General features: G+C 37.6%; 1 protein-coding gene across 45 annotated transcripts in view; it reads left to right on the plus strand.

The window, feature by feature from the left end:
* Positions 1 to 26,687, plus strand: part of DTNA (dystrobrevin alpha) — a 398,533-nt gene that overhangs the window by 82,565 nt on the left and 289,281 nt on the right. For 11 of the 45 annotated variants that reach the window (NM_001386757.1, NM_001386756.1, XM_047437320.1 and 8 more), the window contains exon 1: positions 17,459 to 17,662. The exons of 31 other annotated variants lie outside the window; for them this stretch is intronic. The gene's annotated coding sequence lies outside the window, so the exon portion shown is untranslated. Of the gene's footprint in view, positions 1 to 17,458; positions 17,663 to 19,909; positions 20,043 to 26,687 lie in introns of those variants that run through there. 3 more of the 45 variants (XM_047437337.1, XM_047437338.1, XM_047437331.1) reach the window with 2 other exon arrangements.

The raw sequence follows: 26,687 nt of genomic DNA on the forward strand, positions 1-26,687 counted from the left end.
CTTAAATATCTGTCTCCAGACAGCATTTCAAACAACTTTATTTCAAGTCTGGCCTTCAACCAAGACATTTCCAGTGCTTAATGACCTCTCTTAAAATGCCAGAGCCTGTCAGAAATTTTAAGTTTTTCTTCATCTGGAGCAGAAAACATGCCATGATGTTCTTTCTCCCTACATTTATAAAGCAAGCTTTAGTTCTGTGAAACCCAATGAGAGCTGTCCATAGAACCATCTTTTGGGGAAAATCCTAGAGTCCTGATCCTGGGCTCAAACCTGCAGGCATAATGCTCACAGAGCTGCATGGAGCCTTCAGGATAAGCCAGTGGTAAAGCTGTGTGACTATTGCATGTCCTGTGTCACACAAGTGACTGCCACAGAACTGCCTCTGATTGAGAATGTCCTATTGGTCACTGTAGTCTTCCAGGAACCCAGAATATCCCACTCAGATCCCAAGTCAGCAATTGACAATCAAGACAAACTTGCAGGGAGGGAATCAAGGGTATGAACACATTTTTCCTCATCTTTGTTTCATCATGGAACACAAATAAATTGGTTTGTGATATATTTTTGTTTTTGCTTTGTTTTGTTTGTTTATTTATTTATTTATTTTGAGATGGAATCTCACTCTGTCACCCAGGCTGGAGTGCAGTGGTGTGATCACTCCAACCTCCTCCTCCCTGGTTCAAGTGATTCTCCTGGCTTAGCCTTCCAATTAGCTGAGATTACAGGCACATGCCGCCATGCCCGGCTAATTTTTATATTTGTAGTAAAGATGGGGTTTCACTATGTTGCCCAGGCTGGTCTCGAATTCCCAACCTCAGGTGATCTGCCTGCCTCAGCCTCCCGAAGTGCTGGAATTGCAGGCATGAGCAACCATGCCCAGCCGTAAATTGGTGATATTTGTATGATAGTCGGGGAAAATGAATGAGGTTGTTTATGACTCACTCCACCTAGAGGCTGCAAGGGACAAACAGCCCATGTCTTGTCATGCGTGTGAACATTCTAACTTTGCTGGCGGTCAGCAAACTGTGCTCTGAGTCTCCCACATTTTGTATCAGACTTCTAGGCTACAGCCTTAGAGATACAACTTGCCTTGAAAGGTCCCAAAAACTTCTCTCCCAAAACACACCCCACCCCAGTTTATTGTGGGTCAGTAATAAATAGTATTTGTGTAAGAGTGTTGAAATAAAGGGCCTCAAAAGGGTTTCTGCTTGCCTTTAAACAATGATTATGCGTTTGTCTATTCTCACTTTAATTTTGTTCATTTTAGCTGTATGTATTTGGAAGCCCTATTTTTAGTTGTATATCTTCCTGATGAAGTGACCCTTTGTCACCATGAAATGTCTCTCTTTATCTCTGATAACATATTAATACTTTGTCTTGAAGTTTAACATATCTAATGTGTCTTACATAGGCACACAAATATTTTTATGGTATATCTTTTACCATTTTTAAACTTTCAATCAATATGTGTTTTTATATTTAAAGCATTTTTTATATAAACAGCATGTAGTTTGGTCTTGGTTTTTTATTCAGTCTGATAATGGAATATTGAGTCCATTTACAAAATTTATTTTTAATTTTTTATTTCCATAGGTTTTTGGGGAACAGGTGGTATTCTGTTACATGAGTAAGTTCTTTAGTAGTGATTTGTGAGATTTTGGTGCACCCATCACCTGAACCCCATTTGTAGTCTTTTATCCCTCACCCTCTTTCCACCCTTCCCTGGTGAGTCCCCAAAGTCCATCGTGTCATTCTTATGCCTTTGCATCCTCATAGCTTAGGTCTTACTTATGAGTGAGAACATATGATGTTTGGTTTTCTATTCCTGAGTTACTTGACTTAGAATAGTAGTCTCTCATCCCATCCAGGTTACTGCGAATGCCATTAATTCATTCCTTTTTAAGGCTGAGTAGTATTCCATTGTGTGTATATGTATAATATATGTGTGTGTGACATACCACAGTTTCTTTATCCACTCGTTGATTGATGGGCATTTGGATTGGTTCCACATTTTTGCAATTGTAAATTGTGCTGCTATAAACATACATGTGCAAGTTTTTTTTTTTTTTTTGGTATAATGGCTTTTTTTCCTCTGGGTAGATACCCAGTAGTGGGATTGCTGGATCAAATGGTAGCTGTACTTTTAGTTCTTTAAGGAATGTCCACACTGTTTTCCATAGTGGTTGTACTAGTTTACATTCCCACCAGCAGTGTAGAAGTGTTCCCTCTTCACTGCATCCACACCATAATCTACTATGTGTTTTTTTTTTATTTTTTTATTATGGCCATTCTTGCAGGAGTAAGGTGGTATCGCATTTTGGTTTTGATTTGCATTTCCCTAATCATCAGTAATGTTGAGCATTTTTACATATGTTTGTTGGCCATTTGTATATCTTCTTTTGATAATTGTCTATTCATGTCCTTAGCCTACTTTTTGATGAGATTGTTTGTTTTTTTCTTGTTGATTTGTCTGAGTTCATTGTAGATTCTGGATATTAGACCTTTGTCAGATGTATACATTGTGAATTTTTTTTTTCCCACTCTGTGGGCTGCCTGCTTACTGTTCCTTTTGCCATGCAAAAGCTCTTTAGTTTAATTAAGTCCCACCTACTTATCTTTGTTTTTATTGCATTTGCTTTTGGGTCCTTGGTCGTGAAATTCTTGCCTAAGACAATGTCTGGAAGGGTTTTTTTGATGTTATCTTCTAGCATTTGCATAGTTTAAGATCTTACTTAAGGCCTTGATCCATCTTGAGTTGATTTTTATACGTGGTGAGAGATGAGGATCTAGTTTCACTCTTCTACATGTGGCTTGCCAATTATCCCAGCACCATTTGTTAAATAGGGTGTCTTTTTCCCACTTTATGTTTTTGTTTGCTTTGTCAACGATCAGTTGGCTATAAGTATTTGGGTTTATTTCTGGGTTCTCTATTCTGTTCCATTGGTCTATGTGCCTATTTTTATACCACTACCATGCTGTTTTGGTGACCATGGCCTTTACATTTAATGTAATGTTTACCGTCATTAGATTTAAGTCTACCATCTTAGTATTTGTATTCTATTTGTCACATCTGTTTTTTGTTCCTGTGTTCCTTATTTGTTTGCTTTCCTTTGAGCTAATTAAAAATTTTATTATTTCTTTTTATCTCTTCCATTGATGTTTTCTACTACACCTCAATGGAGTGTTTTTATTTTTCGTTGTTGTGTCTTAAGATTGCACACATGCATCTTTATTATTGTTTACCTTTAAATAATATTACAAAAATAACCATGTAAGAACCTTTAAAAAGTATAATTCTATTTACTTGCTGTCCTTTGCTTTCTTCTGGTCATGTATTTTATTTACTTATAGGTAACGACACAAAATGTGTTACTATTTTTGCTTTAAACAGTCACAAGTTTTTAAAATATGAATAGATAGGTAGGTAGATGATGATAGATATGTAGGTAGGTAGACAGATGGTAATTTTTTAAAAGGTCTTTTATACTTATCCAGATATTTAGTCATTTATCCACTCTAATAATTTTCAGTTCTCCTTGTAGATTCAGGCTTTCAGCAAGAATTCACCTTGAAAACTTTCCTTGTCTCTTATAGTATGTATTTGCTAAAAATAAACACTCTCAACCTTTCTCATCTTATTTCACCCTCATGTTGAAAGATATATTTGTTGAACATAGAATTCTAGATTAAGAGTTGCTTTCCTTCAATACTTTGCAGATATTGCATCGTCTTAAGGCAGTCAATATTTTAGTTGAAAACTCAGACATCATACCTAAGGTTGTTGCCTGTGTGAAATGTCTTTTTCCTCTGGCTGCTTTTAAGATTTACCCTTTATCCTTGTTTTTCAATAGTTTAATCACAAAATGCCTCAACGTGTTGTTGGTGGTGGTGGAGTTTGTTTTGTTTGTTTAGTTGTTTGTTTTTGAATTTTCTTGCTTGGGTTTTACTTAACTTTCTTCATACATGGGTTGATATCTTTTACCAGTTTTGGAAATTGTTCACCTATCATCTTTTCAGGTATTTCTTCTCCTTGATTTTCTCCCCGCTACTTTTCTGAGGCTCCAATTACAAATATCTTAGATCATTAGATATTTTGTTACAGTCACAGGATATCTGTCCCATTTTCTTCACTCTTTTTTTTTCTCTAGTGTTTCAGTTTGGATGATTTTATTGACATGTCTCAAATATTACCCACCCTTTCTTCTGCTGGGTTCAGTCTGCTGTTCAACTCCCTGAATGAATCCTTCATTTATTATACATAATTTTTATTTTTATCATTTCTGTTTTGCTCTTTTTGATAATGCCCATATATCTATTGAAATTTCCCAATGTTAATGCATGCTTCTCACTTTTTCATTATATCTTTTTAACATATCTATCATAATTTTTAAACAAATCTCTGCCTGCTATATCCAACATTTGAGCCATCTGTGGGTCTGCTTCTAATGTTTATTTTTTATTTCATAGTCACATTTTTCAGCTTCTTCATGTGTTTTATAATTGTTTATTGTATGTCAGTGGGTAAAAGCACAGAAATAAATAATATTTACTCCCATAAAATGGCTCATCCTTTTCTCTATTTGGCTGTGTGTGGGGTCGGGGGGATGCAGGGAGACTGGATTAATCTAATATGATTAGATATGAATGTAAGCTTTGCTATAGCTTTAGTGTGATTTGTCCTTGGCTTTAGATGTATTTGGGGAAGAAATAGAAATTTATCTTTAGGAAGACTGAGAATAGCATTGCCTCAGAGATGTCTGCGTACTTAAAGCCATCCTGCCAATGTTTCTGGACCACGGAGGATCTCTTTCTTCTTTACACTCCAGCACCAAGCTTTCCAGGTATATGGATATCTCTCTTCACTTCTGGAGAACTGCTACTGTGCACTGAATGAAGACCTCTGCACCTTGAGGGGATCTCCATCAACTCTCTTGCCCTGCCCCAGCCTGTATCAACTACCCCCAAATATTCAGTGATGATCTGTGGAAAGGAGTTAACAGGCAGGCATGGATTCTCTCTGTGGTTGTGGGGCCTCAGTATTCTAATCTGTGGTACCTGTCCACTTGCAACTGTTGAAAGTGTGTTAAGGCTGGGCGCGGTGGCTCACGCCTGTAATCCCAGCACTTTGGGAGGCCAAGGCAGGCGGATCACGAGGTCAGGAAATTGAGACCATCCTGGCTAACACGGTGAAACCCTGTCTCTACTAAAAATACAAAAAAAAAATTAGCCGGGTGTGGTGGCGTGCGCCTGTATCCCAGCTGCTGGGGAGACTGAGGCAGGAGAATGGCGTGAACCCGGGAGGTGGAGCTTGCAGTGAGCTGAGATCGCACCACTGCACTCCAGCCTGGGTGACAGAGCGAGATTGGGTCTCAAAACAAAACAAAACAAAACAAAACAAAAAAACAAAACAAAAAAGAAACTGTGTTAATACCTGGGCTGGTTGTCCTTATCCAACTCTGTGGCAAAGGTGCTCCACCTGTTGCTGTGTCCTCAGGAGTGACAACAGCTGTAGAATTCTTCTATCCAAGAAAAGGTTAACCTCATTTTGAAAATTAATTTCTTTGGATTTCTTTGTGTCTTCAGCTCTCTGATGTGTTTTTTTAAAATATGATTTTGAGACTTTTTGTTGTTAAGGACAGATAAATTTGATAGAGAAGAGAAAGTGTGGAAAGGCACACAGTTACTTTTAGAACACTGCACTGTAAATATGGGGGCAATATGGCAGTCAGGCATGCCCCTAGTTAGTTTTTTTTTTTTTTTTTTGTGACGGAGTCTTGCTCTGTCACCAGGCTGGCGTGCAGTGGCATGATCTCGGCTCACTGCACCCTCCACCTCCTGGCTTCAAGCGATGATTCTCCTGCCTCAGCCACCCAAGTAGCTGGGACTACAGGTGCACACCACCATGCCCCGCTAATTTTTGTAATTTTAATAGAGACAGGGTTTCACCATGTTGGCCAGGATGGTCTTGATTTCTTGACCTCGTGATCCGCCCACCTCGGCCTCCCAAAGTGCTGGGATTATAGGCATGAGCCACCATGCCCGGCCCTGCCCCTATTATTTTGTAGGATCTGAGGCACAAATACAAAGAGGGACATACAAACAATATGTCTAAATATTTAAAAGCTATAACGCAAACTTATAAATTATTAAACCAAATATGTTTTCCTACCTTAATATGTGTATCTTCATAATGATTTTTAAGGCCAAGTTCAAATTGAAATTCTCCTAAATGTGGCTGCTCAGAGAGAGAGAGCACCCACACACTCTGCCTTCTCTTCCCATCCCTAGTTCTGTCCTGTATCTGAAAGGGCCTTGCACTAAGGTGTGTGTGAACACCTTAGCTCATTCTTCCAAGATTGACTGCTACCCCCTACATCACATCCCCACAAACAACCACTCTTCAACTACCCTTAAGTCTTTAAGGTGTGTATACTAGAGGCAGGTTCACCTTGGGAAGACAGACCTGGATGCAGTCTCAACGCCTTTTGAGCGGGAAACTCCAGAGTCTCACATGCTCAGAGCTTGGTTAGAAGAGGGACACTGGTATTTCTTCTAACTCATAGCTTTTTGGGGATGACATAGAAAACAGAGGAAGACTACAGCAGCAAGGCCCTCTAACGAGTGAGGCCCAGGGCAGCCCGTCCCCACAACCTCCCAACCCCCTTGACTGTGTCTTAGGGCAGTACTGATGGCAACAGAATATTTTGGAGCTAGGTGAGCAGACCACATAGAGAGGGTAAATGTGGCAAGAAAGTAAAGGATGCCAAGAATAACCTGTGTTTCTCTCCTCAGGGCCAACTCTTACAGTTGGATAAATAATTGAATGTATATATCTCTCTAAGTGTAAAAGGTAGCTTCAATGTTGATGGGATACTCTTGAAGAAATAGGGTACAATATTTCTAGAAGACTGATTTCTCCAGACTCACATATTATAAGGAGCCAAAACTAGTATGTAAAATGATTCAAGAGAAACCTTACCTCAAATAACAAAATATACAAATGTGGTCCATATACGAATCATCATGACAACTTGAAAGGGAAATTAGTTCACTATTAGATTTTACATTGTCTTCTAACAAAAAGCAAATATAAAATGACTGCTAAGTAATTTTACTTGTCTTGACTAGGTTATGACTTAATTAATAGTTTAGGCAGAAGTTCAATTACAAAAGAATTGTATTTTCACTTTTTAAGAGAGATAGTTTTGCCTAGGAAGGAATTATTTATAATTATATATGTTCAGATATTTAATTCCACAGATAAATGATGGAAGTCTTAATATAGGGAACAACATGTAATGTCAGAATAAAAGGATCTCCTTAGTCTAATTGAATGTTGTACTTCACTATGTCTGTCTGATAGAAATAATTACATACCTTGCTGGGATTTAGCTTTCATTTTAGCATTGGGTGTACTTGTGGAGAAAAATGAAATATCATGTTGCCCCCGTTGGCCCCCACCCCCAAACACACAACTGCTGAATTTGGTGGGATCATTTTGGAGAGATGTTTGAGAATTTGTTCCCTTTATAAGGCAGTGCTAAAGAGTGAAGGCAGAGAATTACAATTAAAATGGTGGATGGGATACTTGCTTAAGTCTACCCTCTCCCTCCTAAAGGAACTGCTATAATGACAACTAAAAAAAGAATGAAAAAGAAACTCACTTTCTAAAGAAAACAGGAGAGAACACAACAGCAGAGAGCTATTGACTTTTTTTTTTTTTAATGGAAATGGAATGAATGAGTGGTATGTGTTTTTAGCTAAACAGAGATGTAGAAACCCAGGTGTCTGCAGAGGAGATGCCAAAAAGAAACAAATGGGAACTCCATTGAGAACCCTCAAAAGACTCAAAGACTGGAGGCAAAAAGGATTGCTGACGCTAAGGGACAGACTTGAGGCTGAAAACAGGACTGTTTGAAATTCTTAACAAGAACACCTGGACTCCCAAATTCCCTCCTCAACTTTTTGCAGCCTGACAGCTACCCCTCTCTCACCCTGTAAGAGAGATGGCGGGGTATTATTCTCTGGAGTAACTTAACTATAGAGGCTACAAGCTTAGCATTATTGGGGACAGTGGCAGATGAGGATGAGATACGATATAGAAATCTGGGAGACTTAAGTAGAAATCTGCGTGCCGAATAGTAACAAACTCTACTTTCCCTTCAAGCCTTCTTAGGTGGCTCAGCTCCCAGGACACTGGCAACCAGGCTGTACTTCCCAGGCAGAACATTGGAGGGGGCACCTTCCTAGAGGGTCTGACTACCCAAGGGGGAAGAAATCTTGCTAATCTTGAGGGCATTTCGGTGAAACAACTCAGCTTTGTCTAATGGTTTTATGGTAATGTCCTGGAGCCCATAATACATTGCTTGAGCAGACAGCTAAAGAATACCACATATGGAGGAAAGTCTCCAACAAAGAGACCAAAGCAAACTAACCAACAAGAAATGGAAGGAAACAAAGACTCTGGAGAGAACAGAAAGCTGTTACATGTAGCTTTAAAAAGCTGAAATGTGTATTATAGATAGTAAAAAAGAAATTGTGTTCATGAAACTAAACATGGTGCTATGAAAAAGGAGAAATTAGAGAAAATTTAATTCTTAAAAATTAAAAATGTTAGGCGAAATAATATAATCAACAGAACAAAGATGAGAGACTCTTCTAGAGGTAGATGACAAAAAGAAGATAAATAGAAAAGATAATAACGTTAGAGTTTGAGTCTCAAGGTTAGTTTCAGAATAAAAGAACAGAAGAAATAGAGGTCAGAAATTGCTAAAAGTACATAACAAAATTTCCTGGAACTGAATAAATGAGTAAAAGTCCCTGAATTTCAAATATAATCAACTGGGGGAACTCATGCATATCGCACCAAATGTGCTGTTATGAGACAATAGAACACCAGGGATAAAGAAGAAATCATAAGTGTTTTCAGAGAGAAGAAGGAGGGAGGGAAGAGGAGAAGGAAGAAATGAACAAGCAAGGAAAGGAACAAAGAAAGATAGAAAGTCAAATAAAATGAATCGGGAAACAAAATAACTTCTTAATAACACTGGAAGCTAAAAGACAGTAAAGAAATCCCTTGAAATTTCTGAGGAAAAGGTATTTCTAAACAATGAATTCTGTGTAAAGTAAAAGTAACAATTAATGTAATAAGAGAATAAAGAAATATTTTCAAACATTTAAGTTCTCCAAAAATGAGTTTGTCCCAAACATCTTTCTCAGGAAGCTACTGCATGCTCGCCCACCCACCCATGAGGGAGTCCATCGAGAAAGAAAAACAAAGAATTCAGGGAACGGGACCCAAACTACAGAGAGGCAAAGAGCAGTCCTAGGATGACAGCTCAGTAGCAAGATTGCCACAAAAAGCATGAGGGTACTAAAAAACAACAACAACAACACAACTAACATATTTGACTGTATTAAGAGGAATGTTGCATTTCTATTGGAGAGTTTGAGGAAATATAAGATGGGCAGATGAAAAATTAAGAAAACAAAAATATGATGCAACTAATATCAGGAAAAAGAAGAAAAAAATGTGTAAAAGAAATGTAATCATACATTCCCATGTGGCTTACATGTGGATAATATATACAAGTTAAAATAATGTAAACCCTAATTAGTAGTTTATCTAAGATTGTTGTGTAGTTAAATTGGGAAGATTAAGCTAAGGGAAGCATGTGTGTGCTCATGTGTGTGGTAGGGAGGTAGGTGACAGGGAGGCAGGAAAGAAGAAAGAGAGAGAGATAGGGAGAGAGGACACACATGCTGGAGGAAGTATTATATATAATATCCTACATAGAATCCTTATCTCCCATAGTAGGAGGCCAAAAGGTAATATCAACATTTGAAAATCAAAAAGTAGGTATCTGAGTATCATGTGGGAATATGGAATCATCATCATAATGAACAGTTAGATGAAGATGGTTGCCTCTGGGCTTCAAAGGTATAGAGAGGTGGGTGGGACATTCTTTTAAGCTCTACAGTTTTGTGTAGTTTTTAAGAATATGTGCATGAATTTTTATTAATATGAAAAAGCTAATTGTTTGTAAAGAACATGAATGCCATGAATACTAGAGCTTTGTGGTTTTCAAGCAGTGCTTCCCAGGTTCATGGAGGGCTCCTGGAGTCCCCACAGGGACTGCCTCATGGAGGAGGGGGCTGAAGAAATGGGGCCACAGGCTTTACACCTGTTACTGCTAAAGGAGCTATGCTTTGTCATTGTTATGTTTCAGTGAACTATTTCCTTTGAAGAAAAGGTTCCATAGAAAACAACAGCAAGTTTGAAAAACACTGATAGTAGTTTGCTTATTTGGAGAAAAACTGTTCCCAAATTGCTTTGGTTCAAATATGATTTGTCCCCACCAAAACTCATGTTGAGGCTTGGTTCCCAATGTGGTGGTGTTGGGACGTGGTGCCTCCAAGGGTAGATTATTAGGTCATTAAGAGGGAGTAATGCCTTTTTTATGGGAGTGAAGTCCTAGTTACTTTGAGGTTGTTACAAAGTAAAACTGCCTGTCTTGTCGGGTTTTTTTTGTTTTTGTTTTTTTTTGCATGGGCCAGGCTCCCCTCTCACCTTCCCACCCTGTTATGAAGCAGCATGAGTTCCTCACCAGATGCAGCCACCCGTCTTGGACTTCCCAGCCTCCATAACACAAATGAATATGCTGACTCTAACTATCAGACTCCATCCAGTTTGGCTATCACCTGTCATTTTCTGTTATTACACAAAACAGAATTGTCGTATTTCTAACCCTGGATAGATCTTTAAAAGAACTTGAATTAGAACCAGTTTTCACATGGATTTCAAATATGGATTAGATATTTGATTATGAAAATTTGTATATTTTCATTTTGCTCCAAAACCAAATTTTACCCTCACTTCTTAAGCAGTATCACATACAGTATATGCTGGCAGAGTTCAAATAAGTAATCCAATAGAGGTGGTCCTCTGTCCCTGGGATGAAGTTGGACATTCTGGTTTCACTGAGTGATGGACATATTTATGATTGTGCTCCAATTCGAGTTGACTTTGGTTCCACAAAGGAAAAATACCCCCACCCCAGGGTATAGAAAAAATACAACAAAATCTTTAGTTTTTTTTTTTTGGAGACAAGGTCTTTCTCTGTCACCCAGGCCTGGAGTGCAGTGGTGTGATCACAGCTCACTGCAGTTTCAAAGTCCTGGGCTCAAGCAATCCTTCCATCTCAGCCCCCCTACTTGGGAGGGTCCGAGCTACTTGCTGGGACCACAGGTAAATGCCACCATGCCTGGCTAATTTTTTTTTTTTGTAGAGATGGGGTCTCACTATATTGCACTGGCTAAAAATCTTTATTTCTTTTATACTGGAGATAACCCATATGTTTTGCAAGCATGTTATATTGGTTGTTACTGGGGCTTTATAACCACTTAAAGACAAAACATCCCTAACTTGGTGAGTTTAATTTAGGAGAAAATCAAATGCTAAAACAGACACTCCTGAAAAAATATGTTTCCTTAGTCAGTCTCTCTCTTTCATTTTCTTTGTTCTCCTCTGCACTCCACATAGTGTGAAATGCTGTGCCTGTTCTTTGTGCTTCCATTATTTCTCAATATAAAATAATTAAAATCTGCTTTGAAAAATAACTATGTTATCTAATACAAATTTATATAAAATATATTTGATATAAAGTATATATTTACACATTTTATGTGTTCTGAACTTAAATGCATATCTCATTTGAAGTTGACAACAACTCTTTGAAGTATTATTATTCTCATTGTAGGGATGAAGAAATAGTGGCCCTTGGTGGTGGACCTCTCCCAGGTTGTGTAGCTAACAAGGGATAAAGACCAAATGAAATCTTTATTTTCAGAGTTTTGGTCTACTTGGGCCAAACACTTTCTAATTATTAAAAAGGCTAATCTTTATCACAAGCATACATATAACTTTAAAACTTCCAGATCACATATATAGGATGACCAACTCTGGTTTGTCTGAGACTTTCCTAGTTTCAGCGCTGAAAATCCTGTATCCCAGGAAATCCCTCGGGCCTAGACAAAACAGAATGGCTGGCCACTTTACATTCAGCAGTCAGTCCAAGAGACTGTAATAGATACCCATCATGGGAACTGAGAGAGACACAGGGAAGGAAATGCAAGTAGAAGAAAATGATCCAGAAAGTTTGTATAGACGAGTAAAACTGATTTCTTACCCTATCAAAGTAAACCAGTTGTAACAACCACCACAACCCAACAATTGGCACCAACTTTTCAAAAATGTTTATGTAACCAAATATATCTATAGACTTAAGATTCATGACTATATCATGAAGTGTCCCAAAGACCCACAAACTTGGTACTACCATATCTTGAAAAGTAAAACCTCTCTTAAGTGTTTTATGAGAAGAAATCACAAAACACTCAGACAGATATCCTAGGGCCAAATACCCTAAACCTCTTTTTGAGATCCTGATCTCCTCAACGTCTGCCTCATTGAAGTAGCTGCTCCCCAACCCAGCTTACAGTCTGCCCCCAACCCCCTACCTATAGTGTGCCAGATTCTGTTTCCCGCCTGCTCTTCTCTCGTTCTCACCATCTTAAGAGTGTTCTTTTTCTTGGATATTTCCCTCCTTGCCCTTTCTTAAAACCAACATAAGTCCCATTAATCTTCTTCTATGTCTCTTTAGACATTAAAGAGCATCTTCATCCCCTTATGCTCCTCTCCCCTATAAGCTCCTGCAACAAAGATCCAGAGAACTAGAGATGCCTCTTCAAAGATGAGGAGGAGGGTGAGGAATGAGGAAATGCTGCAATTATTCCTACTTGAATATTATAGTGTGTGTGTGTGTGTGTGTGTAGATTATGAAGGTAAAATAATGTCATTACAGAAAATTTACAAAAAGTGAATTAAGATTTTTCATAAAGGATCCACAATCATTTTGGTAGGAATTTTTTAGCCTTTATCTTCCTCTCTGGTGTTCTAATATAGTTGAAATCATGGTGCACATACACATGCAAGCTGATTTTTAACCTAACTAAGCATTAGCCTATGCCATTCTGTTTTTTATAAAAACTATCATTGTTCCCCATTATTTGCTATCAAATATACGAATTATATTTTATATTAATACTATACTAATTATATTTATAATACTATACTAATTATATGTATAATACTAAGTATATTTTGTAATTAGTATATTTGTACATACAGCCCTTTGCATGATTACAGTTATTTTCATGTGACAGGCATATATAACAGGTGTCCATTTCAACCAATTTTTAAGTTTATTGGCATTTAATAGGATTATATGTAGCATGCTGCTGTGGTTTTCTTTGTTTTTAAAATGTATGTTTGTAAGGTATACATGATGTTTTGATATACTTATTTTGATATATATAGTGAGGTGATTACTACAGTTAAACAAATTAATATTCCGTTGTTTCCTATAGTTACTTTCATGTGTGTGTATGAGCACGTTTGTGTGTGTTAAGAGTACCTAATAATCCACTTCAGGAGGCCGAGGCGGGTGGATCATGAGGTCAGGGGATCGAGACCATCCTGGCTAACATAATAAAACCCCGTCTCTACTAAAAAATACAAAAAATTAGCTGGGCGTGGTGGTGGGCACCTGTAGTCCCAGCTACTTGGGAGGCTGAGGCAGGAGAATGGCATGAACCCACAAGGCAGAGCTTGCAGTGAGCCGAGATTGTGCCACTGTACTCCAGCCTGAGCAACAGATCCAGACTCTGTCTCAAAACAAAACAAAACGAAAAAAAAGTACCTCATAATCTACCCCCTTGGCAAATTACCGGTATACAATACAATATTATTAACTGTAGTCTTTGTTCTATATGCTAAATCTCTACGCTTAACTATATAACTCTCTTTTTGTACCTTTTGATCTATATCTTCCCATTTCTGCCTGCTCCTGGTAACTATTGCTTTACTCTATTTCTATATATTTGATTTTTTAAAAGATTCCACATATAAGTGAGATCATGCAGGATTTGTCTTTCTGTGCCTGGCTTATTTCACTTGGCATAATGTCCTCTAAGTTTATCCATGTTATGGCAAATGGCAGGATCTCTTTTTTGGGGGCTGGATAAGATTCTGCATATGTATATCACAATTTCTGTATTCATTCCTCTGTCATTGAACACTTTGGTTGTTCCCACATCTTGGTTATTGTGAATAATGCTGCAATGAGCATGGAAGTACAGATACCTTTAGGAGTTGATGTATTTCCTTTGGGTATATACCCATAAAAGAGATTGCTGGGTATATTTTTAAGTTGATTGGCATTTAATAAGATAATAAATAGCATGCTGCTGCTTTGAATCTTCCATATTTGTCTGTAGAGCCCCTGTTTTCTAATGCAGTTTATGTAAAGTTTTTCTACTTTTTCTTGGGCAGTATCTATTTTAATTACTTTTAAATGACTTGGATGTATTAATGTTTTCTCTTTTAACAAAAATCACAATTATACCCCAAATTATTTTTGCATAAAAAGTATATGCTTTTAAAAATAAATGATATGACAAAAATATTAGCTATAAAACTATCACCATGAGAATACTGCCTGTCCTAATCCCTTAAGGATATTTATTAGGGAGGAAAAAAATAACAGAGGTCGTTTGCTTTTCAGTGACCAGGTTCTTCATACACATGGATGTCTCACAGATCAGCTAAGGCCTGTGTTTGAACACCTTGGTCACCCCTGCAAGGAGCCATGCTCCAGCATTTGCCATCCACAGAACGGTGCTAATAGAGTCTATTTCTGGAGAATGGAGGAGAGATTAACTTCTTGTTCATGATAAATCAAGGGTATCTGATTTGCCTGTTACATGCCCAGTTTTCTTTGGAAGCAAGCCCTAGAAGCTGTTTTTCTGATCTAATCCTAATTCTCACATTAGTGCTTATGAAAGAGGAAAACAACATTTACTCACGATAAAGACTGAGTTCTAGCCATTATAAATCTTATCAATTGCCTTGTGAAGGTTAGGGGGAAAAAGAAGGAAAAAAATGATTGTACTCACTCACACTTGCATCTGGACTAATGTTCCTATTCCCGTTGTTGAGTGTTCTGAGATTTCTAAGACTGGCACAAATGGAAATAGCAGCAGAGATAAAGTTGGGAACCTTAGGAGATATCTGACTGATGAATGTTGCACTATAAAGAGTGGCCAGTAACAGTTCGATAAGGAAAATTATTATAGTTTACTCATTACTGGGAAATATTAGCAAACCTAAACATTTCATTTTTTTTTCTATTTTTCTTATAAGCCACCAAGATTGGTAGAAGTGCTCTTAACAAATATTTGCCACGTTAATATTTAGAATCACACACATGCATACATACATACATAAGATGTATAATGATTTTTTGGCTTCAGTAAAGGTACTTGGTACATAATATACATTCTATATAATATTTTGGTTAATTGCCTGAAAAGAAGCGTATTTTTCCCAAGACAAATACAAAACATATTTATCTAAGATGTAGGCCAACAAATAACCATTTTCCATAGGTTAAGATATACACTTGCACATGAGCAGTTCTTCAGTTTCAACAACCATTTTTTGAGTATCAGTTATGTGCTAGTGCTCACTCTGAGATACAACAGAGGTGAACAGAGCAGCTGAATGTGAACCATTGATGGCCGCACGTCTGTCCACCCTTCTTAGTTCATTTGTGTTTTGGCACCATCCATTAGCCTTGGGAAGGCGTGTTTTTGACAGAGGGATAAAGAAACACAGTGACAGAAATGTGTACTTTCTGGACTATTGCTTTATTTCTTCCCATTTATTTGTGAAGTCATTAGAATGCCCGTCTATCAGCATTACATAGAGCCTGCAGTTTCCCTAAGAAACTGTCAACTTTGGGGACAAAAATAAGGAAAGTTTCTTACTCCTCTGTTTCTATCTTTTGATCTTTTTAAAAGACATCTAGTAACAAAGTTAGGCTAAAAGGCTAAAAGCTGGTAAGCCACCAATCTATATGGGGCATCAAAATATCACTAAAATAGGCTAGTAATATGATGCCAATTAATCAAGTTTTCCCTCATGGTTTCTTAAGATGGTATTGCCCTAGATATGATAAAATATAACCCAAAATAGAAGATTCAAAACCATCAACAAACAAAAACAGAAAGCTTGCTTTCTGGCATCTACGTTTTGCCGTTGAATATTTTTGAGATGTCCACATAAGTTCCAAGGAGCAGCTGCAGCCACACCACCACCCTGAGCCCAGCCAGCTGACAGTTGCCTAGAGTTGGCAGCCACAGCTAGCTGAAATTTGGAAACCCCCAAATGCTTAGGGTTGAGATGTGTCCAATTACCAAAATTATAAAGCCTTCATTAGGCTTTTGAAGAAGTTGTGTGGTCTGTAGAATTGCATGTTTTGAACATAAAGAGGTTAGTTATTTTCAGAGGCAGGAGATCTTTTGGCCCCAGTGACCACTAAATATTAATAAATATTAAACACAAGTTAATTAATGGTGATTTAAAGGGACCCCATGTTGTTAATTCATGTCAGTCTCTATTTGATGAAATGTATCTTTTTCTTTGTTTCCATTCACTCAATTTCTCTTCTTTTAGATATACACTTGTATAACACACACACACACACACACACACACACACACACACACATTTTGTTTTCCAGTCCGCACTCAAGTTTTGCAAGACAGTCCTGAAAAAGAAGTTTCAGTGGGGAGATAGAAGTGTTTTTTGCACTCTCTCCTGTTTGGTTGAAATCAGTTTTTCCACAATTCTTACAACAAGTTTTTCTCTAACAGAAAATGCACAGATTGAACAGTTGCCCTCCAAAACACTGGCAAGCAGGCGGCATGATGATTTCCTCTTCTAACGGATCCCAACTCATTTACTAAGACTCATTCAACTTTTAACAAAAAATTTGTCATTTCTCTTTCTTACTACAGCCATTGCCATCCTCTGTAAAATTACATGTGGACATTAAAACTTAAATGCTGTCCTACAATGAAAATATTTTTAATGCCCTCCTCAAAGTTAAGAAAAAAAATTTACTATTTGTATTTTGTGTACCTGGGAAGTTATTCATGCTGAGTAACAGTACAAAACTTGAGCTGCCTTGCTTTCTGCTTCCAGGAATGCCAATCAGAGAACATTCTTTTTCAGGCAGCCAAGTTTGGAAGTCAGTTGGTTTCTGGCAGTGAGTAGGGGGAGGGGATGGCAGGGGAAGCATAGTGAGTCCTCGGGCTGATGTTCAGCTTCCAAGTGTTTCCGTAATATCCGTCAATGAAAGCATCTCCTTTTACCCACGTAGAGACAGGTAAAAAGACAGCTGAGTAAATCAGCATTAGATGTAACAGCGGAAGCTCAGTCAGAGGGAGCGGGGAGGGAGGGCGCATGAAAGCCTGCCATTGGCGAGCTTACCAAAGGCATCTGCCAGTGGGACTTCAATGGAATGTGAAACCAAATCATTTTCAAGTTAAAGATAGACACAGTACACACCAGGATCTAGAGGCTGGATTTCATACTCATAGCTCTCCCTAGAATTTCAGAGAGTTCTGTTATGATCTCTGTTGTAATTACCAATTTGGTTCAAGTTTGTTCTTTAAATGAATATGCTTAGAATTCACATATGTTCTGGATGTACTGGAATTAAAAGGATTTAAGAGATCATGGTGTGCATGTTCTAGGGTAAGTGAAAAGATTGGTTTTTAAAGTGCATCGCTTTTCTGGGATGCTTAATATTGAATTTTTCTTTTTATCTGTGTGAATGAAAAGGTCAAGATTTTTCAGTGTTGTAGCTTGCTTACCTTTCTTAAGATACTTGGTATTTTACATTTTGTGCAGCAGAAAGAGGATTTTTGCTTAGTTTTGAAATTTACATTGCAAGTCTGTAACTTCAGTTTTGACTTTATCCTTATTTGTTTTTCCCTCTATTCTTCTCTTAAGCACTATGAGTTTACTGAGTTACAATCTCAATAGTTTTATGTCACAACACAGACTGAATGCTACTGTGTCTATTATGCCATTGGATGAAACTATATTATTGTGAGATGGAGTTCAGTTTCCCCTGCATGTTACTAAGTCACTTCCCAATTTGAGAAACAAAAAAAGGAAAAAGGAGAGGAAAGGTGCTCTAAAGGTGGCTTAAACTGCGTAAGGAGCCTTTAGAAGATATTCTACTTTTTAAAAAGCAACTGAGAAAAAAAATAGGCACTTTTCAGGAAGAGAAGAATTAATAGAAGTTATTTTTTAGTGTTATCTCATTAATTCCAAGCAGGTTCCCCTCCTTCAGGAAAAAAAAAAAAGCTGAAATTTGCTAAGTGGATGGAGGCGTTCTGATTTTACAGAGCTTGAGAGAAGACAAGGGAGAGGAAGAGTTGTCTGATTTTGCTATTGTCGCACTGTTTTAGGACTTCAAACTTCTTCTTGAAAAGAATGACAAACTTTAGTTCTCTTCATGTTTTGCCCATGTATAGGTTTTGTTTCTTGTTTTGTCAAATGACCTCTCCCTCTGCTCTTAGAGACAGCTCTTCCAAACTTGCACAGCATTCCTTCTGAATAAATACTGTCCATAATAGTCACAGAGTACATGGTGTGAATTGGAAATTCTACTTTATATGGGGAAAATAAATCTGCTGACGCTGTTATTACAGAGTGCACAGATGAACAGTTGTTAAATGTAACTGGCCAGTTTTTTGTCTTGTCAAATAGACCAGATTCTAATGAACTAAGTTGGCTAAACTAGGTACAAACAATGAAGGGCTTCTTATGGATTTTTCATTCAACTTTGATGAGAATAAGTAATACACTGTGTCACTCTTCTAAAATGAAAAATGGGCATTATATTGATAAAGTCATTTGATTTTACAACTACTGAGTAATCTAGTGAGGCCAAGCAAATGTGAAGTTGGCAGAGCTCAGTTCTGATGCCCCTTTCCTCCTTTCTCTGTCCAATTTTCCCTCCCTCTCAGTCCTCCTTATCCCTCCAGACCCCTGATGAATATGACTACTCAGCGCCCCCGTTTTCTTGTCAAGCAAGACCTATACTCAAGAAAGAATCTGACTTAAGAGAGTTTTAAAGTCAATGTACTAAGTCCCCCAGTAATATTTGCTTTTCAGTGTAAATATCTGACCTTGTGACAGTTTAGACAATTTGTTAAATGATAGTTAACCTTGGGTAATACTTATAATTAACCCCTTTAGGTTGCAAGCAATTGCAATTAATTTTCATTTCCCCATAATCATGTGTTAACTTTGTAAATTTTCTGTGGTCATACTGGGTGCCTTGTGACATTGTATTACCAGTTGTGTACTGAATGGTTGACAATAAGAATGAACCTGGCAGAAATCACAGGTGCTTCCAAGAAGTTTGTGAATGCATGCACCTGGGTGCTCACCATACACTCAGGTACACACAGTAACACATGTAGGCATACCTTTTATGTAACTAATATGTTTTTTATTGAATTATAAAATAAATGAAAATATGTTAGGCTTACCAGTGTGGGATTTGGGTTTTTTTTCAGTGTGTCAAAAAAAAACACAAAAAAGAACACAAAATGTAAAATTCTAAAATGAAGAATGTTAAACTATGTGGCCAAATAGTGTTGACAGAAAAAGAGACAAATATTTCTCTGCTACTATTATATCACTTTTATAGTTTCTAATTCTTGTATAAAATTGTCAATCTTAGCTTTTATTCTTTTGAACATCCTAAGTGTAGTTTTATAATCTATTTCTGATAATTATAGTATCTCAAGTGTTACTGGATTTGTTTCTATTATTACTCTTCCTGCTAGTTCTCATTCATGGTGTCTTAATTTCTTGGTTGCTTGGATATCTTTGACTCTATGCTGGAAATGTATTTTTAAAATTACATTATAATTAAAGATCGTAAGAGTAAGTTGAGATCTAAGTGATAATGTTTTCCTCCAGAGAAGACTTTGGTTTGCTTCTGCCAGGCACCTGGGGGCGATATCAGACCAGAATCATCTTAGACAAAGTACAACTCCTGATGTTCCCTGAATCACCTCTGTGACAAGAAGGCTGCAAATCAGTGAGAGGAATGGTAGGTTCACTCCTCCCCTAAAGGAGAGTATGACCTTTCATGACACCAGCATAAAGCTGGGTTAGTTAATTAAAGCCCCACCTGAGGGCCAAGGACTTTGACTTTTCTATGAAGCACAGAAAGCTACTTGAAGTGTAAAGCTAGATTCTCAGATCTTTTTTCCTGATAGTCATATGCCCAAGGGCTTTTAAAAGTGACCTCACCTCTCTGATTTCTGATCTTCTCCTAAGTTTTCATATGCCAAATCTTCACCATCTTACTAAAGGCTCTTTGCTGTTTTTTGTTTGGTTGGTTGGTTTTTTGTTTTGTTTTGTTTTGTTTTATTCTGTTGCCCAGGCTAGAGTGCAGTGACATGACGCGATTGATCTCCACTCACTGCAACCTCTGCCTCTTGGGTTCAAGTGATTCTCGTACCTTGGCCTCCCAAGTAGCTGGGATTACAGGCACATGCCACCATGCTTGGTTAATTTTTGTATTTTTAGTAGAGTCGGGTTTTCAACATGTTGGCCAGGCTCATCTCGAACTCCTGGCCTCAAGTGATCCACCTGCCTCAGCTTCCCAAAGTGCTGGGATTACAGGCATGAGCTACCATGCCCAGCCTCTTTACTGTTTTTATATCTCAAATATCTTTATTACATCAGGTAATACATACAAATATCTTATTACATCGGGTATATCAGTCCAGATTCTCTCATTACTGTTACCAGAAATGGAAATTCATCCTACTGCTATTATAGTTGTTTCTTTTTACACTCTTCGTTCTAGAGAACATATCAAAGTTTGCTGATATCATTAATGATTTCAGATAACTTTTCTGATTTTATTTTTTAGTTGTGACCTGATATATTCAAACTTTTTGGAGAAAATTGCATATGCATGCTGATTGAAAGATTCATGTTTTCTGACTTTATTTGAGCTGTCAACACCACCTAACAGTTCTTTTTTTTAATTATACGCAAGTTGTGGGATACATGTGCAGAACGTGCAGGTTTGTTACATAGGGATACATGTGCCATGGTGGTTTGCTGCACCCGTCAACCCGTCATCTACATCACGTATTTCTCCTAATGCTATCCCTCCCCTAGCCCCCAATTCCCTGACAGGCCCCAGTGTGTGATGTTCCCCTCCCTGTGCCCATATATTCTCATTGTTCAACTCCCACTTATGAATGAGAACGTGTGGTGTTCGGTTTTCTGTTCCTGTGTTAGTTTGCTGGGAATGATGGTTTCCAGCTTCATCCATGTCCCTGCAAAGGACATGAACACATTCTTTTTTATGGCTGTGCAGTATTATTTGTCCCTAGCTGGCCCCTTTCCTTGGCAATTTCTTTAACCTCTAATCCATCCCACAAGCATCCTTCACTCTCAGAAGTTGATTTTGACTCTTTCTGGTTTCTCTTGGCCTATATCCAGTACTAAGACATTTAAAAAATCTTCTTAAATCCCGTGCTTTCCATTCTCTCTGCAGTTGCTCTACTTCAGGTCTTCATCATTTAACTTGGCTATTATATGGTCTTCCAGTTGTTCTCCTGTCTCTAAGCTCCATCCACACCCTCACCCTGCCACTACATACACACTTGCTGAAACCAACATACCCATCTTCTAAAAACTATAGACTTCAATTAATTGCTCCCCTACTTAAAAATCTTTAGTGATTCATGACTCCCTTCAAAATAAAGCTTAGTGTCCTTAGTATGTCTTAAAAGGTCCATCACAAAGCCTCGATCTGTTTCTCAAACATTGACTCCACTGCTTCACTGGTTATCACCAACACTTCAATCACATACAATGGCTGCCTCCACAATATGCCGTATACTATTTTAGCTCTGTGCTAGTCTACCTTTCCCCACCGCCCCCCGCCCCCCCAGAATGCCTATTGCTTCTCTCCTTTGTGGGAAAACCCCACTTTTCCTTTAGGGTTGACCTCATAAGTCACCTTCACTGTACTTTCTGTACTTTCTTTTTAAGTGTATAGCTCACCCACTGTTCTGGGAGTCCCTAATGCTGTGGCTTGTGTCTTACTCGCTTTTTTATTCTCAGTCACTGACACACAGGAACCACTCAAAAAAATGTTTAAGAAATGAACAGATGACTATTCAGAAGAAGTTTGTTTCTGAGGAATTTGTTTTGTTAATATATTCTTTTCCATTCTAAACATCATTTTTTCTTTTGACCTTAGACTCTTTGTCTAGAATAATGATCATTAGTAATCCTGTATGTCAAGTGGAGTCAGTAAAAACATGTTTATTTGGCTGTTGTCACTGTCTTGGGGAAAGGGAATTCTCTATTTTCTTTCTTTCTTTTTTTTTTTTTTACCAAATGTGATGTATAACTTGATTGTGACAACAAGAGAGTAGAAATTTAAGTATGGTGAGTCAGCTGTTTATTATCAGAGAGATTCATAATCAAAAGAGTCATAGAGTGGGAAAACTGACATATTTCAACAAATCTAGTCCAGAATGTTAAATAGCACAATGGGAAAATGTCAATGAGGCACAACTAAATGAAAATTATCTCATTGCATACAACCTCAATTTCAACCATTAGAAAACACTGGGTTGTTTTCAAATCACAGTGTGGTGCTACAAAGAAAGCAGTTGAGTGTTTATGTAATACAATATTGTGAAAGCTTGTGGAAAACTTTTCTTAAAATTTTTAAGGCCTTGGCCAGGCGCATTGGTTCACGCCTGTAATTGAGCACTTTGGGAGGCCGAGACGGGTGGATCACGAGGTCAGGAGATTGAGACCATCCTGGCTAACACGGTGAAACCCCATCTCTACTAAAAATACAAAAAAAAATTAGCCAGGTGTGGTGGTGGGCACCTGTAGTCCCAGCTACTTGGGAGGCTGAGGCAGGAGAATGGCATGAACCTGGGAGGTGGAGCTTGCAGTGAGCCGAGATCGCGCCACTGCACTCCAGTCTGGGTGACAGAGCGAGACTCCATCTCAAAAAAAAAATTTAAGGCCTTGAAGTGCAATTTGAATATCATCTTTCTAAAAGCCTATGCTAAGCAAAGAAAAACTGTATTTGTTTATTAAACATTGAATATAGTTGATGGGAACCAGAGGAAGAGGAAATATAACTTATTAATTCCAAGGATGTTTAATTAATTTTATACTCTTTGGACCACTTATAAACTTTTTACACATTTATTGTGAGGCTTTGATACGCCAACTTCTGAGATTTAGATAAATAAGAAACTTGGCTTATATTATTTCTCATACAGGACACTCCTACCTTCACAAAGAGAAAAGCCCCAGTATGGGTGGGGCTTCAGAATGTATCTTCAGAAAATGTATCTTCAGAAAACATCTTTGAATTTAATGAAATGTTCAAACTCAGTGTTTGAGATCCCAGAATTCTTCATCGCAAAATATGAAAATATGATATTGGCCTTTCTTTTTTGCCTCATCTATAAAAGAACTCTAAACTAGCTCTTGAATAATGGCTGATTTCTAATCATAACTTCCAAACAGCTGAACTCATTTTTCTCATTAATTCAATAATTTGAACTCCTACCTTTTGTTCTAACTGTGTAGACAATGAAATTACTTATTCACCCCCTTCACCGGACACTGGTACTGAAGGATATCATGTTAAAACAATGAATTTAATTAACAATTTTTTTCTTTTTTGTTGTTGAAAAGGGAAAACAAAACCCTCAAACCTGAAAAATTCCATATCCCTTCATTTTACTTTTTCTTATTACAGAAGCAATGTAGGAAAATCATGACTTTACCTGTTTTTGGTTGTCGTTGTTTTGTTTTCTTGTTGTTTCTTTTTTGAGACAAAGTCTTGCTCTGTCGCCCAGGCTAGAGTACAGCTGTCAGCTCACTGCAGCCTCTACCTCCTGGGTTCAAGCAATTCTCCTGCCGCAGCCTCCCAAGTAGCTGGGATTACAGGCACCCGCCACCACGCCTAGCTAATTTTTTGTATTTTTAGTAGAGACAGGCTTTCATCATGTTGGCCAGGCTGATTCGAACTCCTGACCTCAAGCGATCTGCTTGCCTCAGCCTTCCAAAGTGCTGGGATTACAGGTGTGAGCCACCGTGTCCAGCCAACAAATTTCTTTATGTATCTTTCATTGATATTTTAAATGTATTTGTCTTAATCTCCACACATATTTAAAAAGTCATTTTGCCTTTCTCAACAACTAGTATTTTCTTCTCAGAAAGCTAAGTTAGAGGATAGTCTTGAGATTCTTAAAAAATCTCTTGTTTAGGAGATACTTATGTAACAGAAGAGCTTAAAGAGAGCTGAATAAATTCTGAAAAAAAGTTAAGTCAAATGTGTATTTTTTATTACATATTTAATTAAATCTTAATATAAAATAGAAACACATTTATTTGCATAAATAAAACTGGACTTGGCATTTTTGCAAAATAAAAATGATGTAAAGATGACTCAGACACTCTGAATCATGAAAGTTTTGTAAACCTCTAAGTATTTTAAAAAGAGCAATAGAGTTACTTTAATTATTTTTCTTTTTAAGTCTCAGTTTATTTTTTGTACTCATTCCTATATAGTGTGATAGTTCACACATTTATAGATGCTGAAACAATGAATTCACTGAATTAATCACAGTTCAGGAATACAGATGCCTTAATTAGTTTTTTACAAGATATAATTTTGAATGAAATTTATCTTCCAATGCATATGAACTTCCAGGTCTTAGATTGTTCATTTCTACATATTTGAAGAATCATGTTTACTAACCAAAAGATATTTAACACCTCAGATAAATGTAGCAATTCTTCCCAGATGCATCCAATGTTTGAAGTTATTTTGTAGGTAAGAGACATTTATTTTACATATGATAAAACTAAGATGTAGACATATGAAGTGTTCCAGATATACTATGGGTGGTTTCCTCAGGTAACAAACAACTCTCAATTTCAGTGACATATAGAAACCAGGTTTCCTTCTCACTTATACAATTTAGCCACCACAGATTAGCTGAAGGTTCTTCTCTACACAGCTGTTTTCACCTGGAAATGACCCATTTTCCTTATACTCACATTCCCTTAGCCAAAGCATGCCATGTGGCCACACCTAACTTCAGTTGGATGGGAAGTATAATATGATCCTACCATTGGCCTAGAACAGGTGAGCCCCAGTACTGGGGCTTAGCCCAGGAGGGTTTTTGGCTTTGCCTAGGGCAGGAAAGAATTCAAGGGCAAGCCAGTGGTGTTAGACAGCAACTTTTACTGAAGTGGCAGTGTACAGCAGCAGCAGAGGTACTGCTCCTTGCAGAGCAGGGCTACCCCATAGAGTGTCCAGAGTAGCAGCTGAGAGGCAGTTTTGTGGTCATATTTATATCTTTAATTATAAGCAAATTAAGGGGTGATTTATGCAGAAATTTTTAGGAGAAAGGTAACTTCTAGGTCACTGGTCATTGCTATGGAAAGGGGTTGTAACTTTTGGGTGTTGCCATAGCAATGGGGAACTGACATGGCATACTGCTAAGCATGTCTTATGGAAAGCTGTTTCCATACTGGCCCTGTTTTAGCTAGTCCTCAACTCCTTCCAGTGTCTGAGCCCAGCGTCTGGAGTCAAGTCCCTCCTCCTACCTCACCATGTGCTTAGAAAGAGAAAGGACTGGAATATTTATGTAGAGCTCTGAGGAATTTCTACACTATTGGATAATAGGCAGCCTAAAACTCCCTTAGTAACACAGATTTAGACTTAAAGTCATATATATCTGTGAACAGGTCCATACTTGGTAAATGTACGCCACCTGCGATCTGATACTAATGTCTATTGCCTGTTTACATCTTTTGGCTCTTATCTCCACTGAGACTTTTCAGCTGTCTAAATCTTTACCATTTCCATGTCTGTGACCTTTTCTGTCCAGCTTCTCCACCACTATGGAATTCTAGGATTTTACCTATCCTTACACTTACCACTCAGGGAGTCCTGCCCATAAACAGTTTTGGGAAGTGTAAGGAGACTCCGTTGGGGCAATTCCTACAGAATGCAGAAAGTAAATGTGAAATCTTAATGCTTTCTCCTCTCTAGGAACTGCTCATATGTAGTACAGAAATGGAGAAAAAGGAAATTGAATACAATTCTAATCCTCAGCCCCCACTTTAATCAGTAGACAGAGTAAAAGGCCTAGGCTCAGGGAATATGGCACAGAGGAATGGTGATGTATATTATATATTAGAAATACATAGTCTCGAATAGCATTTATATTATTGGTACTCTACCCTTTGCTTAGCATTTAGTTTTAAGCACTAACTATAATCGATAAAACTCAGGAATTCAAAGATTGAGACACTTAAGAGTTGAAAATTTTTAAGCCAATATTTTAAGGTCCTTTGAATTGTCATTTAAATCAGCAAATCCAATTTGTGTCCTTGGAAGCCAATAATTTTAGGAAATATTATGTGTGTATTGTGGGGAGGGCTGGGATAAGAATCTTGGATCAAATGAATTTGGAACATGCTGTATACCGTATCCCTTTCTTGGAGATTTAGGTAAACATTTGCATTAAGAATGCATAAAAGTTCTACACTAAAGGGATATGTTTGACTTTCTTTAACCCAGTGTTTTCCAGTGTAATTTGACTATGGAACTTTATAATTATAGATAGATACATAGATAGATAGAGATATATCACATTTCAACACCACAAAACACACT

Source organism: Homo sapiens, chromosome 18, assembly GCF_000001405.40.
Source record: "Homo sapiens chromosome 18, GRCh38.p14 Primary Assembly".
Lineage (NCBI taxonomy): Eukaryota > Metazoa > Chordata > Mammalia > Primates > Hominidae > Homo > Homo sapiens.